Consider the following 13,218-nt stretch of genomic DNA (forward strand, 5'->3'; position numbering starts at 1 on the left):
AAACATGCATCAAATAAATGTTAGATATATTTTATGCAAGATAATGTACTACAAATGCTTGTATAGACTAGGTACTGTGTAAACAATAATATTTTATATCTATTGAGCACTTACTATTGCCAAGTACTTTATATGCATTTTCTCACTTAATTTTTTGGAACAACCTTATAAGGTGAGTATTTTCATTATCCGTATTTTATAAATGAGGAAACTGAGACTCAGAGAAGTTATGTGACTTGCCAAAGTCCAGAGAGCTGATAAATGACAGCTGAGACTCTAGCACAGGAAGCTGTACTAGAGTTCATTCTCATGACTATTACTTATAACATCTTCCCTCTTTCCTTGATTGTCCAAAAATTATAAATAAAATATTATATATGATGTTTACAATTTGTCTGAAATTTACTTCTTGGGAACTGACCATGTTCACTGTGAAAAAAAATTTTAAATACCAAGGTCTCTAGTTTTTGCAAAATTTCATTATAATACATAAGAGGGACCCACACATTTCAACTGCCTGTAATGTGGGGACACATGATTGTGAAGTAAATGAGATATCCAGTAAGTACCTGGCTAGGTTTCGTCACAGGTGCCAACAACGCTACTGGGCCACCAGATTCTGTCCCCATCCTGGCTCTTTCTGGCACCATATGGTAACAGTTTTTGTCAATTTAATTATTGGGGCTAGGCTTTTGGGTCTTGTGGCTGCTGGCACATGTAAACAGTGTCAGTGGCTCCAATAATCGCCCAGTTAGTTGGCATCCTTTCATGGGCTTAATCCAGAAAGATTGGCCACAAGAATCCTGGAGACATGGAAACCACCTCCTGTCACTGTTTTCCCAGATGGAGTCATCCCATGATCCTTTCTTCTTTCTTTCACTCTGTCCTCTATAAGATTGTCCCCCTCTCTTCCATAGAAGAAGATAAAGAACCTTTGCCTTAGGACTCTTAACCCCAAAATCAATTTTGAGTATAGTAGATGATCTGTTGGTTTCTATCTTCTCCCTAGTCACCTTTCCCTCTAAAATGGGAGTGGACTAAGGCTTTACAAGCTTCAGTGTAAAAATAAAACTTAAAAAAATTTAAAAACTTAAATGAGAAAATGTGGTGAAACATCTTTGTGATATTGGGCAGGGGAAAAGATTCTCTAATCAAGACCCCAAAGTTCTGATCAGAATGAAAAATATTATTAGATTTGACTACAATGGAATAGCAGCTCCATGTTCAGGGGAGGTCGTGATAGACAAACTGGAAAGAAAGAGGTTAGATTGAGAAAACTCACACAACAATTAGAAGCAGTAAGCAATACAAAGACTTCCTACAAATCAGCTATGAAAACCAAAAGGAAAATTAGCAAACGAAATGAACAGGCACTTTATAGACAGGGAAACTGAAGAGACAAATAAGCATATGAAAAATGTTCTAACTGACAAATAACCATTCTGTCCTATAAATAAAATATATTCCTGTTAGGGAATAAAGTATAACATCAAATAATGTTAAATGCTGGTGAGAATGTGAGGCAATAGGACTTTAATCTATGGCTGGTGAAATTGTGACCAGCACAGCTCCTCTGGCCAGCAAATTGTCACACCTGTTCAGGATACATATTTTCCCCTGACCCGGAACTCCCACTACTGAGTACAGCACCCCAGGTGTCACCACCGGGCCACAGAAGACAGGAGCCAAGATCTTAATCACACTGTACTTTCTTGTAGGGAAGCCTTGGGCCAACTTAGGGTTCTTCAATAGTGGGATTAATGAATGAAATTGAGTCTGTAGAGAGTACAGAAGAAACAATAACAGCCAATATTCACACAGTGCTTATGATACGTTCTAATGCATACATGTATTAATTAATAACAGCCATTTATTATTAATGTTCCCATGTTATAGGTCAAGACACAAGAGGTGTAGAGAAATCAGGAGAATAGCCTGGCTCAGAGCAGGGGAGCCAGGTCGGCACTCTGCCCCCAATAGTCTGTGTTCCAGCCACTGAAGGAATTGCAAGGGGATGGAATGAGATGAGAAGCAATCCCCAAACAGCAATTTCCATCATGTTCATATAATGGCAAGGGATGAGGAGCCCTATCAGATATCCAGCGAGATGAGACATTCAGGGTGATGAGGCATCCAGGGTGGAGGGTTCTTCCTAAAAGTGAATCTTACAAGGAAATACAGATGGACTTAGGAAAAGGTTTAAGAGCCTGACTAAAGTTTGGTTAAGTGAAGAATCATGATCACATCTCTATCTGTCTGTCTGTCTATCTACCCATTTCTATCTCTGTTGATCTATCATCTACTTATCATCTATCTGTCTAATCAAAGCTGCAGAAATTTCATTGATTCCATATTGAGTAATTTTATGGGGATCACAGAAAAAAATAACATTTCTTTATTCTTTTTCATTTGTCCCTAATCTCTCTAAGTTCCACTAATCAGAACCTCAAACCTTAATGACATTGATGTCAACTTCCTGGTATAAAATAAGGCATAAAATAAAATTTCCATGTCTTTTGTTGTTGCCCTAATGTTCCATCTTTCATGTATTTCTTTTCTTTTTTTGTTTTTTTGAGACAGAGTTTCACTCTCGTTGCCCAGGCTGGAGTGAAAGGCGTGATCTCGGCTCACTGCAACCTCCGCCTCCCAGGTTAAAGTGATTCTCCTGCCTCAGCCTCTTGAGTAGCTGGGATTACAGGCATGTGCCACCACGCCCGGCTAATTTTGTATTTTTAGTAGAGACAGGGTTTCTCCATGTTGGTCAGGGTGGTCTTGAACTCCCAACCTCAGGTGGTCTGCCCGCCTTGGCCTCCCAAAGTGCTGGGATTACAGGCATGAGCCACTGTGCCTAGACATCTTTCGTGTATTTCTGAGTATATTTGTACCATTTTCAAATACAGTCCTGCACTGCATAATGACATTTTGGTCAACAACAGACCACACATAAGACAGTGGTCCCATAAGATTATAATGGAACTATCACATATAGCACCATCATTACAACATCTGTTGTAATGTCACAGTGTTATGCATTACTTACATGTTTGTGGTGATGTGGGTGTGAACATAAAATTATGTATGGTGCATAATGCTTGATGAAAATAACAAATGATGATGTTAATGTTCTATGTATTTACTATTCTACAGTTTGTATTGTTATTTTAGAGTATATGCTTACTACTTATTTTTTTTTAAGTTAACTATGAAACAACCTCAGGCAGGTCCTTCAGGAGGTTTCCAGAAGAAGGCATTATTATCATAGGAGATGACAACTCCATTGTTGTGGGAAGTCAGGGACCCCGAACGGAGGGACCGGCTGGAGCCACGGCAGAGGAACATAAATTGTGAAGATTTCATTTTAATATGGACATTTATCAGTTTCCAAATAATACTTTTATAATTTCTCATGCCTGTCTTTACTTTTATCTCTTAATCCTGTTATCTTTGTAAGCTGATGATGTACGTCACCTCAGGACCACTGTGATAATTGTGTTAACTGTACAAATTGATTGTCAAACATGTGTGTTTGAACAATATGAAATCAGTGCACCTGGAAAAAGAACAGAATAACAGCAATTTTTAGGGAACAAGGGAAGACAACCATAAAGTCTGACTGCCTGTGGGGTCAGGCAAAAAGAGCCATATTTTTCTACTTGCAGAGAGCCTATAAACAGATGTACAAGTAGGAGAAATATCACTAAATTATTTTCCTAGCAAGGAATATTGGTATTAATACCCTGGGAAAGGAATGCATTCCTGTGGGGAGGTCTATAAATGGCCACCCTGGGAGTGTCTGTCTTATGTGGTTGAGATAAGGACTGAGATATGCCCTGGGTCTCCTGCAGTACCCTCAGGCTTACTAGCGTGGAGAAAAACTCCATCCTGGTAAATTTGTGATCAGACCAATTCTCTGCTCTCGAACCCTGTTTTCTGTTGTTTAAGATGTTTATCAAGACAATATGTACACCACTGAACATAGACCCTTATCAGTAGTTCTGCTTTTTGCCCTTTGAAGCATGTGATCTTTGTATCTACTCTCTGTTTTTACACCCCCTCCCCTTTTGAAACCCTTAATAAAAAACTTGCTGGTTTGAGGCTCAGGTGGGCATCACCATCCTACCTATATGTAATGTCACCCCCGGCAGCCCAGCTGTAAAATTCCTCGTTTTGTACTCTTTCTCTTTATTTCTCAGCCGGCTGACACTTTCGGAAAATAGAAAGAACCTATGTTGAAATATTGGGGGCAGGTTCCCCCATTACTCTATGCATGTTACTGCCCCTGAAGACCTTCCAGTGGGACAAGATGTGGAGGTGGAGGACAGTGCTATTGATGATACTGACCCTGTTTGTGTTTGTGTCTTGGTTTTATAAAAAAGTTTTAAAAGTAAAATAAATAAATAATAGAAAAAAGCTTGTAGAATAAGGTTATAAAGAAATAAAATATTTTTGTACAGCTATATAATTTGTGTGGTTTTTTGTTTGTTTATTTGTTTGAGACAGGGTCTCACTCTGTCACCCAGGCTGGAGTGCAGTGGCACAATCACAACTCACTGCAGCCTTGACCTCCTGGGGCCCAGGGATCCTCCCGCCTCAGAAAGACACCAGTCCTCCAGGTAGACATCAGGTCCCAGGTGGACACTGGACTCAAGGTGTACATCAGGTGCCAAGTTGACAACCAGGTCCCAAATAGACAGCAAGGCCCTTGGTGGACATTAGGCCCATGTTGAATACCAGACTCATGTAGACATCTACCATGCCTTAGGTAGATACATAGGCTCCAGGTGGACATTAGACACACAGTCCCCAGGTGATCATCAGGACCCCGGTGAAAACTGAGGCCTTAGGTGCATATCAGGCCTTAAGTGGACACCCAAGCCCCAGGTTGATCCCCAGGTCCGAGGTGATTACCAGGCCCCAGGTGGACACCAGGCCTCAGGTGAACAACAGGATCCAGTAGGCCATCAGGCCCCAGCTGGATACCAGTCTCCAGGTGAACACAAGGTCCCAAGTGGGACATAAGCCCAAGGCAGACATCAGGCCCAGGTGGACACACAAGCCCCAGGTGGAAATCAGGCCTGAGGAGAACATCTGGCTCCTGGTGGACATCAGGTGCAGGCATACAAGCAGGCCCTGGGTAGACATAACTATGTATAGGTAAGGAGTTGACCTGGGGGGAGGGTGAACAGTCAGCACCTCAGTGGGGTCCTGAGCAGGTCTTATGGAAGGAAGGGGCCAAGAGGATGGAAACTTAAGCGACCTCACTTCCTTGATGACAGACCTGAACAGAAGAAGATAACTCTGGTAACCAGGCGCCCATATCTTAGACTCAGCCCTGTAGCCAGCTCACTTGGTGGGAGTCGCTCAGGAGAGGAAGCTGTTCTCATGCCGCATCCCCACATCTTGAGGCTCCTGCTTCAGGAATGGCGGGAGTGAGAGCCTTTTCTGATGATGTCGATGAAGGCTCATCCCTCACCCCAGACACCTCTGGCCATTTGACTGAAGGCACCCCAGGTACCTTAGGGCAGGCCTCACTAGTGATCCCATCAGGGCCTCATCTGCACGTTGTCCTTGTCCTCATCTGGTTGGAGCCTCTGGAGCCCCTCGAGGCACAGGCACATGTGAGGTGGCTTGCAGTCTGGAAGACTTTCTGGGGGTGGTATTTTCAGGCTGAATTCCTTTAAATTCAATGAGGTTGTTTTTGTGTTTGGAAATTCCACTGGAAAGTGACTGATGTTTGTGACCCTTTCTCCTTTTTCAGCTCCTGCTCCATATGCAGCAATACAGGTACTTCCAGCACTGTTAAGCCAGTGCCAGCACCAGGGGAAGAGCGCCCTCAGGGACAGTGCTGGAGCTAGAGGAAGTTCCACAGCCCTCTTGCTGCTGCCCTGGTACAGCCAAGGACCAGCCCAATGAGGAGCTGCCTGACATCATGGCACCTACTGTAGCCACTGGCCTCAGCCCTGGATCTGAAAGTGTGGCTGGAGCTAGAGGTGGCAGAGATGGGGTGGCCAACATGGCCCCAGCCAGCAGCTCCCACACTGCTCCTGGTCCTGGGCACAGTGGGAGTCATGGAGGTGGAGACCAGGGTGTGCAGCCTGGGCTCTTCTGCCTCGCTGGAGAGAAGCTTCTCTCATTAAACAGAGCTGTTGCTGTGCTCCTGCAGGACCTGCTTGGGCTACTGCTGCTGGGGTTGTATATCTGCCTGCAAAAAGTGCTACAGAGCAGGAAAAGGAGCCTGTGAGGAGGCGTTCCAGCAGCTCCTCCTGCCCCCAGAGGTGGTCTCTTCCTCCAGGCATGGACGTCTGTCCTCAACTGGGCATCTGGGCTGTTTGTCCCTGATGTGCTGCCAAGGATGGGCTCTTCTTGACAGGTGGGTGGGGGATGCAGGGGCCAGGGGGGCATCTCCAAAGGATATAGGAACTGAAGCTTCCAAATTCACCACTTGTGCCCTGGGGTCTCCATGCCGCCACCTGTCCTAAGATTTATTCATAATATCAGAATTACAAGTTTCTAAAATGACATTTTAATAAAGTTTGACTTTTTGAAACTTCATGCCTTCTTAACTCATGTGAGATGGTGTTCTTGAGGCTATCCTGAAAATCTCTGATAGTTGTGTGTTTTTGTTGTGGTTGTTTGTGTGATTGAATTACTATCGAATCAACTGTCATTGGAAACCTTTCAGGTATGGCTTTTAGAAGACCTTGACCTACTTTTGCCTGTTTTGACTGTCTGGTTTATTGTGAAAAGAGGGATCATGTAGGTTAATTTCTCCAGCAGACCAATCACCTTTTGCCATCAAAGATTTGGCATCAGAGTTTCCACAAATTATGTGTACAAGTTGATATGTTGGCACTTTAGCTAATCTAGGGGCCAAAACAGAAGGTCATAGACTAGGTAGCGTACAAACAAATTTATTTCTTACAGTTCTGGAGATGGTAAAACCCAAGCTGAAGTGGTCAGCAGATTCTGTGTCTGGTGAGGGCTGGCTTCCTCGTTCATAGACAGTCATGTTTCTACCGTGTCCTCACATGACAGAAGAGATGAAGGAGCTCTCTGTGGTCCTTTAATAGGGGCATGAATCTCATTCATGAAGTCTCTGCCTTCTTGACCTAATCACCTCCCAAGGCCCCACCCCCAAATACCATCACATAGGGAATAAGATTTCAACACATGAATTTGAGTTTATAGCATCAGGTCATCCTGATCCATATGCACTCACAGGAAATCTATAATCTTCTATAATTATTTGCTGGTCCCTTCTGGGTTTAGGATTTTCTTTTTCTTTCAGAAAAATGATCTTTTATGTGATCCATGGTTTATTCATAGAAAAGCACTGTGAGTTCACACACTTGCCAAAAAAGGGCAATTGTGATACAGACAGGAGAGTGGCTTCTCTCTTTCTCTTTTTTAACCAACACATTGGGCTGAGACATTGTAGTGGCCCTTGGCTGGATGGTAAGACTTGAGGAGCCACAAACGGTTAACACAACTTCTTGGTCATTTTGGAGTAAAAAAGGTAACAGTTTGTCAAAGAAGAAAAAGTAAAGCAGATGGAGAAGTTCTTAGTTTGCATTCTAGCTAGACCACCCCTTCTCTGTCACACCCCATCCCCAACTCAGGAATGAAGACGTGAAACAGTAAACACCAAGACACTGGTATCCAACTGACTCTTCTGAGTGCCCTTGTTACCTCCTACAACAATTCCAGACTGAGCATAGGGGTCAGGAAGGTAGCAGGAACATGATGATACACTGTGGAGGTCAGCCAGGGCTAAGACAGGGCTGCCCACTGGGTCTAGAAATTAGTCAGGAAGGGAGAGGCTAAGTGCAGACCAGCCCTAGCCTCCAAGTCAGCGAGCAATGAGACTGTGGCAAAAGTAGGCAGAGGAAGACTGAGATAGAAAGGCAGGGGAAGAAAGCAAGTACGGGGTGAGAAGAGAACTGTGCACCTAAAGCAGCTAATCTGATGGCAGACGGAGACTGGTGCTTAGAAGCTCATTTGGTGAGAGAATGAATAGAGGAGGCACAGAGATGGGGAACAAACGTTTAGGTGGTGAGAGAGATTTAAGAGGAATGGGGAAGAGAAATCTGGCAAAAAGAAAGGACACATTCATGGACAAATGTTTCAGTGTCCTTGGCCTGACCTGATCCTACCTGGGGACCCAGTCTGCCCTGGTGGTGAGCTATCTGCTTCCTCAGGCAAAGCGCTCTCGCACCAGCAGCATCAGCTTTTTCTTGTCTTTGTAGATTTATTTGAGGTTGTCGATGAACTGGGCAAATTGCAGGTGGTCATCCTGGGGCAGCAGGAGGGTCTCCAGAGCCTTGCTCAGAAATTCAATGAACTTTCCATAGTGGCAAGAGCTGATGTGTGGTAGGCATGAGTGTGTAGTGTTGATATAAGTATTGATGGTGTCATCAGCATCATTGGCAACTGGCACAATGGAGATTTGTCAATGGACATGAACTTTCCAGAGCTACAGCAGCCTGGAGTGCCAGCCAGGCCAGGTGCAGTCATTGTGCAGTGTCGCACACAGGATGTCTGGAAGCACTATGGCACAGTGCACACTCTTTATCACCAGGGGGATGAGAGCTGGCAGCTCATTCTTGCCCAGAGAGTGGCTGAGGGCACAAGCCCAGAGCACATCATTGATGGCTGTGTGGCTGTGTGGGTATCCTGGATGTAGGCCAGGTTAAGATGGCTCATGGCCGATAAGGCCAGCTTGAAGGCATGGAGCGGGTAGCCACGGAACCCCATGTAGCGGGTGATGGTGAACAGCTGTGAATGGCTCATGCCATCAACTTCAGCATCAGTGGCAATCTGGTAGGCTGCCTCAAAGGCAATGTGGTCTTCCTCACAGAGTGTAAGCGCTGACAGGGGCACAGTTCTGTGGATGCTTCATAGCATACTGCAGGGCCAGTGTGTGAGCACACCTAGCCACTTCCTCCCGCTGTGGATAGTCAAGACTGAGGCGCAGGATAGTGGTGTGGGATACAGCTGTGGTAGCTACAATACTAGTAGCCTCAGCAGAAGTGAAGAGTGTGTACCAGCTCTGCAAGATGATCAACAGGGCCCGCACACATGTCAGGGAGAGCCTGAGCTCAGCCGTGCTATCTGGGTCCTGATTCAGGTCTGCCCAGATTACCATTTGGAGTTTGAACTTGGCCTGCATAGATGAGTTCTCCCTCCTCCTCAGCAAGTTTGAGATGATCTGAGGCAAACCAGGGAAAGGGGAGCATCCCAGATGGCCCGACCCTGTTTGAGGTCTCTTGCTAACCCTTCCTTCCCCGGTCAGGAGGTTGAAGTTTTCTTCAGGTGCTGTTAGCCTCTCACAAGGATGGAGCAGTGGAGCCTGTGGTTTGCTTGCCCCCAGGACAGGGTTGGAGATCTGCCAGGGGTTCTAGCTGAAGTGAGGCTTCTCAGGGTAGAGTCTTGTGCTGGGGCTTTGGGCTTTAGAAAGGGTCCTGAGCCTCCAAGTTGTCTAGGGTTTCTCACAAGCATGGACAGGGATAGGGATGAAACCACCTGGCCCACTACCTCCCAAGGGAGCACTTGAGTATTGGCAGCTGAAAATTCACTCTCTTAGATATGTCTCTGATGAGAGGTTCAAAGTTCTGCTGACATCAGGATATGGTTCAAGCAGTGAGAACAGGGCTTGGGCTGGCTGAACAGAGGCCATCTTCTCCCACCATCAGCCCCATCCTTTCTTAGGCCATTAGGAATAGGAATATGAAAGCTCTAAGGATTCATTGTTCCATCCCAAGAGTAGGGCCTAGAAATTCCTTTTTCCTGGTTGTAGATGGAGGTGGGAGAATCACCCACTTCTGTAGCACAGGTCACCAACCACACTACTACCTCCTGGCATCTCCAGTTAAGGATTGATAAGGTCATCTGCATCACCTGTAAACCAAGTCCCAGGGCCACGTTGAGCAGGGTGCTGTCAGTACTACTGTCAGTGGGAATAGCAATCTTGAATGCATTTGGGCCAGTTTGAAGATGAGGAAGGAAGAATGAATGTGCTTTGATTCTGTATTGCTTCCAGAATTGTTCAGAATCTCAGTGTCTCTTTTGGCAGCAGTCAGCATGGCAGAGGCCGGTTCACACTGCTGTGATTCCATATGGTGAGGGTGGGATGTGTCACCTACAGAAGCTGAGTTTTCTTTCTTTCATTTTTTTTTTTTTGAGATGGAGTTTCACTCTTTTTGCCCAGGCTGAAGTGCAATGGTATGATCTCAGCTCACTGCAGCCTCTGCCTCCTGGGTTCAAGTGATTCTCCTGTCTCAGCCTCCTGAGTAACTGGGATTACAGGCATCTGCTACCATACCTGGCTAATTTTTTTTTTTTTTTTTTTTGTATTTTTAGTAGAGATGGGGTTTCTCCATGTTGGCCAGGCTGGTCTTGAATTCCTGGCCTTAGATGATCCACCCACCTCAGCCTCCCAAAGTGCTGGGATTATAGGCATGAGCCACCGTGCCTGGCCAGAAGCTGAGTTTTCTAAAGCAGGTAACCTCATGGCACGTCAGGCTAATTTATAGGACAGGTCTGGACCATGAGACAGCAGAGCTGAGAACAAATACTTGGCAAAGGTATGTATGCATGGGAACACTCTTTTAGTGAATGACTTCTCCCAGACTGCTGAAAGGGCCCCCTTCCAGCAGTAAGATACACTGTTTGCAGTGTTTGCACTAGCTTATCGTCAAGCTGCAGCTCTTGGAGTTGGCTTAGGAGCTGCTCTTCATTATGGGACACCTTGTCCTGTGCGTAGAGGTATTCAGGCATTATCCTCTGTCGACCCAGGTCCATCAATGCAACTTCCAGGGCCAATGACGGGTAGGACTTACTACTGTCTGGGGAGCCTGCAGCCACAGGTACATGTTGGTACACAGGGGGTCTGCTTTCATTCATATCTGACATCTCCAGATAGCCGTCATCATTCAGGCAGCAGGCCTCGGTCAAAGTGAGAAACAGGCAGCCAATGGGATCGGGGGTGGCCCACCTGGCCCTCCAGGTTTGTGATGGTTGTCGTTCCTCTCTGCAACAATTCTTTCTTCTGATGCTTGCAGATTTCCAGTTGCCGCTGTTGCTGCAGCTTCAGAGTATTAATAATGGTCACTGTGAGTCTGAGGGCCTCTTTTGGATAACCATGGGAACGTAGGGAATCAACCTGAGCACAGGCTGTAGGCACATGCTCAAGGCACAGTGGCTGGCTTGGGGAATTAAAGAGTACTCTTTCACTTTCCTGCCGGCAGGCAGGAGCTGTGTAAACATCACTGCTGATTATTCGCTGTAGGTGGCTGTCCTGTCAGTGTAATTCATGGCCCTCAATGGCCCTTGTGAATATCGTTCATCTTGGTCTGGATAAGGAGTCTGGGCTGTGAATGGCATTCTGGGGAAGTGCATTGGTGATGTTGGACAGCTCATGTCCATAGTTTCCATCCTCCAGGGGACAGACATCCAGGTCGCTCCACTTCTGCAGCAGCTGCAGCCAGCAGGATTTCTCCTCCAGTTTGCAGTGTGGATTTAAAGTTATGCACACCCATAGAGCCCTAGCTCATGCCAGAGTTGCCTGACTTTACCTGTCAGGCTTGTTCCTTGCTGACTCCAGAGTGTGAGTCATGGGTCAGCCATAAACTGGTCAGTTATTAGCATCAGTATCCTTGCTCCATTGGAATCTCTCATCCACAGCATTTCTCGAACCTTGGCAAATATTGAGTTGAGTTGCTTTCCAGAGCCATACTAAGCCCCCTGGGAGAGAAAAAGCTTCACTTGTTCTTTCACCTCTTCTTCATCCAAACGCCAACAGTTCTCATTGTTAATGCTGGCCCCAGCTGTGGGGTCAGGAGCACTGTTCACTTGGTTGATTTCTGAGTTGGAGGATAGAATCTCATCTGCCAGTTTCTGTGCGGTAGGAAGAACTTCAGTGTGGTGGTGTGCCGTGATTAAATATTCAATGAACTTTTGTAGCTGGTCCCTATTCATCTGGGAAAGGGTTTCAGAGATCAGAAGACACAAGGTTTTCTCTTCTTAAAAATTAGGAAATAAACAAAAAGTTTATTTTCTTTTATTAAAAACTGAGTTTAAAATAATTATGATACTCATGGACACTTATATTTTCCCTTATAGTCTTTACATATTAAATACTTTGACGGCTTTTTATTTTTATCACCATTACACATGGTTAACTTGTTCACTTGAAAAGAAGAACGGGAAAAAGTTGCTGTCCTGGAGAACATTCTTTCCACTTCTGCATAACCCACATTTAACTTCTAAAACATTAATTACATTTGCAGTGAGGCAAACAGAAAATGTTAGAAGGGCAGTCAAACCTTATGTATTAGGGATAAGCTGGTGGCCTTTTAGTGCAGAGAATGCACAATTATGCTGTCCATTGCATATTATTTTTCATTAATGTCTTTGAAGCAGCTCTAACAATGCAGAGCAGCTGATTGTACCTCCTTTAAACTTTCCCTCTCTCCCCCTTCCAACTGACCCTATGCCTCAGGTCACAAAATTTTTCACTGCCTATTATTGCAGAAATATTTTCACTGGCAATTCCAATGGTGAAGTCCAATTGCAGTGGTTCTCAATTGTACCTCTTAAAACTTATAACAGCATGGTTGCCATGTGCTTATAGCTGAGGAAATAATGGCATTCTAAATAGTTATCCAACAGTTTGTTCCAGATCCATAATTATGTATACCAAAATAAATCCATCTCAATTTAATGTGGGGTGATACATAGCTTTACATATGTAGTTGAAGTCTTTGTGAAAGCATGCAAATACATGTATGACTTTAAGTAACTTTGACAGTTATCCTAGCTGAGCACTATCAATTTGCTAAAATTATTTTAAAATACTTATCATATACTTATCATTTAAACCTTGAATGTTGAACTCTTATCATCAGTATTTCCTGAAATGGCATTTAGAACCATTTGATCGTGGTGTTTTTCTAGGACATTGTTTCTTCCTGCTTTTTGCCACTAGATGGAAGAAGCAGGTTAACAAAATGATATTTTTGGTGCTTCATTCAACTCTACCAAGAAACACCACATAACTGTGTTTAAAATACTGACAACCTCAGCATGCTTTTATTTATCTATTTTTACTGCATTATTCTTTTTGCGTGAATACTGGATCTAAGAACTGTATTTTTGTAGAGGTTAATTTTCTTTTTATTATTTTGATTACTGGAAATTTCAAAAGTAACCAAGAAAGAA

The 13,218-nt window shown here is 44.5% G+C and overlaps 2 pseudogenes; one reads left to right on the forward strand and one right to left on the reverse strand.

Annotated features, from left to right (window-relative positions):
* Window positions 5,757–6,512, forward strand: CDRT15P11 (CDRT15 pseudogene 11; annotated as a pseudogene).
* Window positions 6,513–8,012: 1,500 nt separating this feature from the next.
* Window positions 8,013–12,009, reverse strand: ZSWIM5P3 (zinc finger SWIM-type containing 5 pseudogene 3; annotated as a pseudogene).

Source organism: Homo sapiens, chromosome 4 (assembly GCF_000001405.40).
Source record: "Homo sapiens chromosome 4, GRCh38.p14 Primary Assembly".
Classification (NCBI taxonomy): Eukaryota; Metazoa; Chordata; class Mammalia; order Primates; family Hominidae; genus Homo; species Homo sapiens.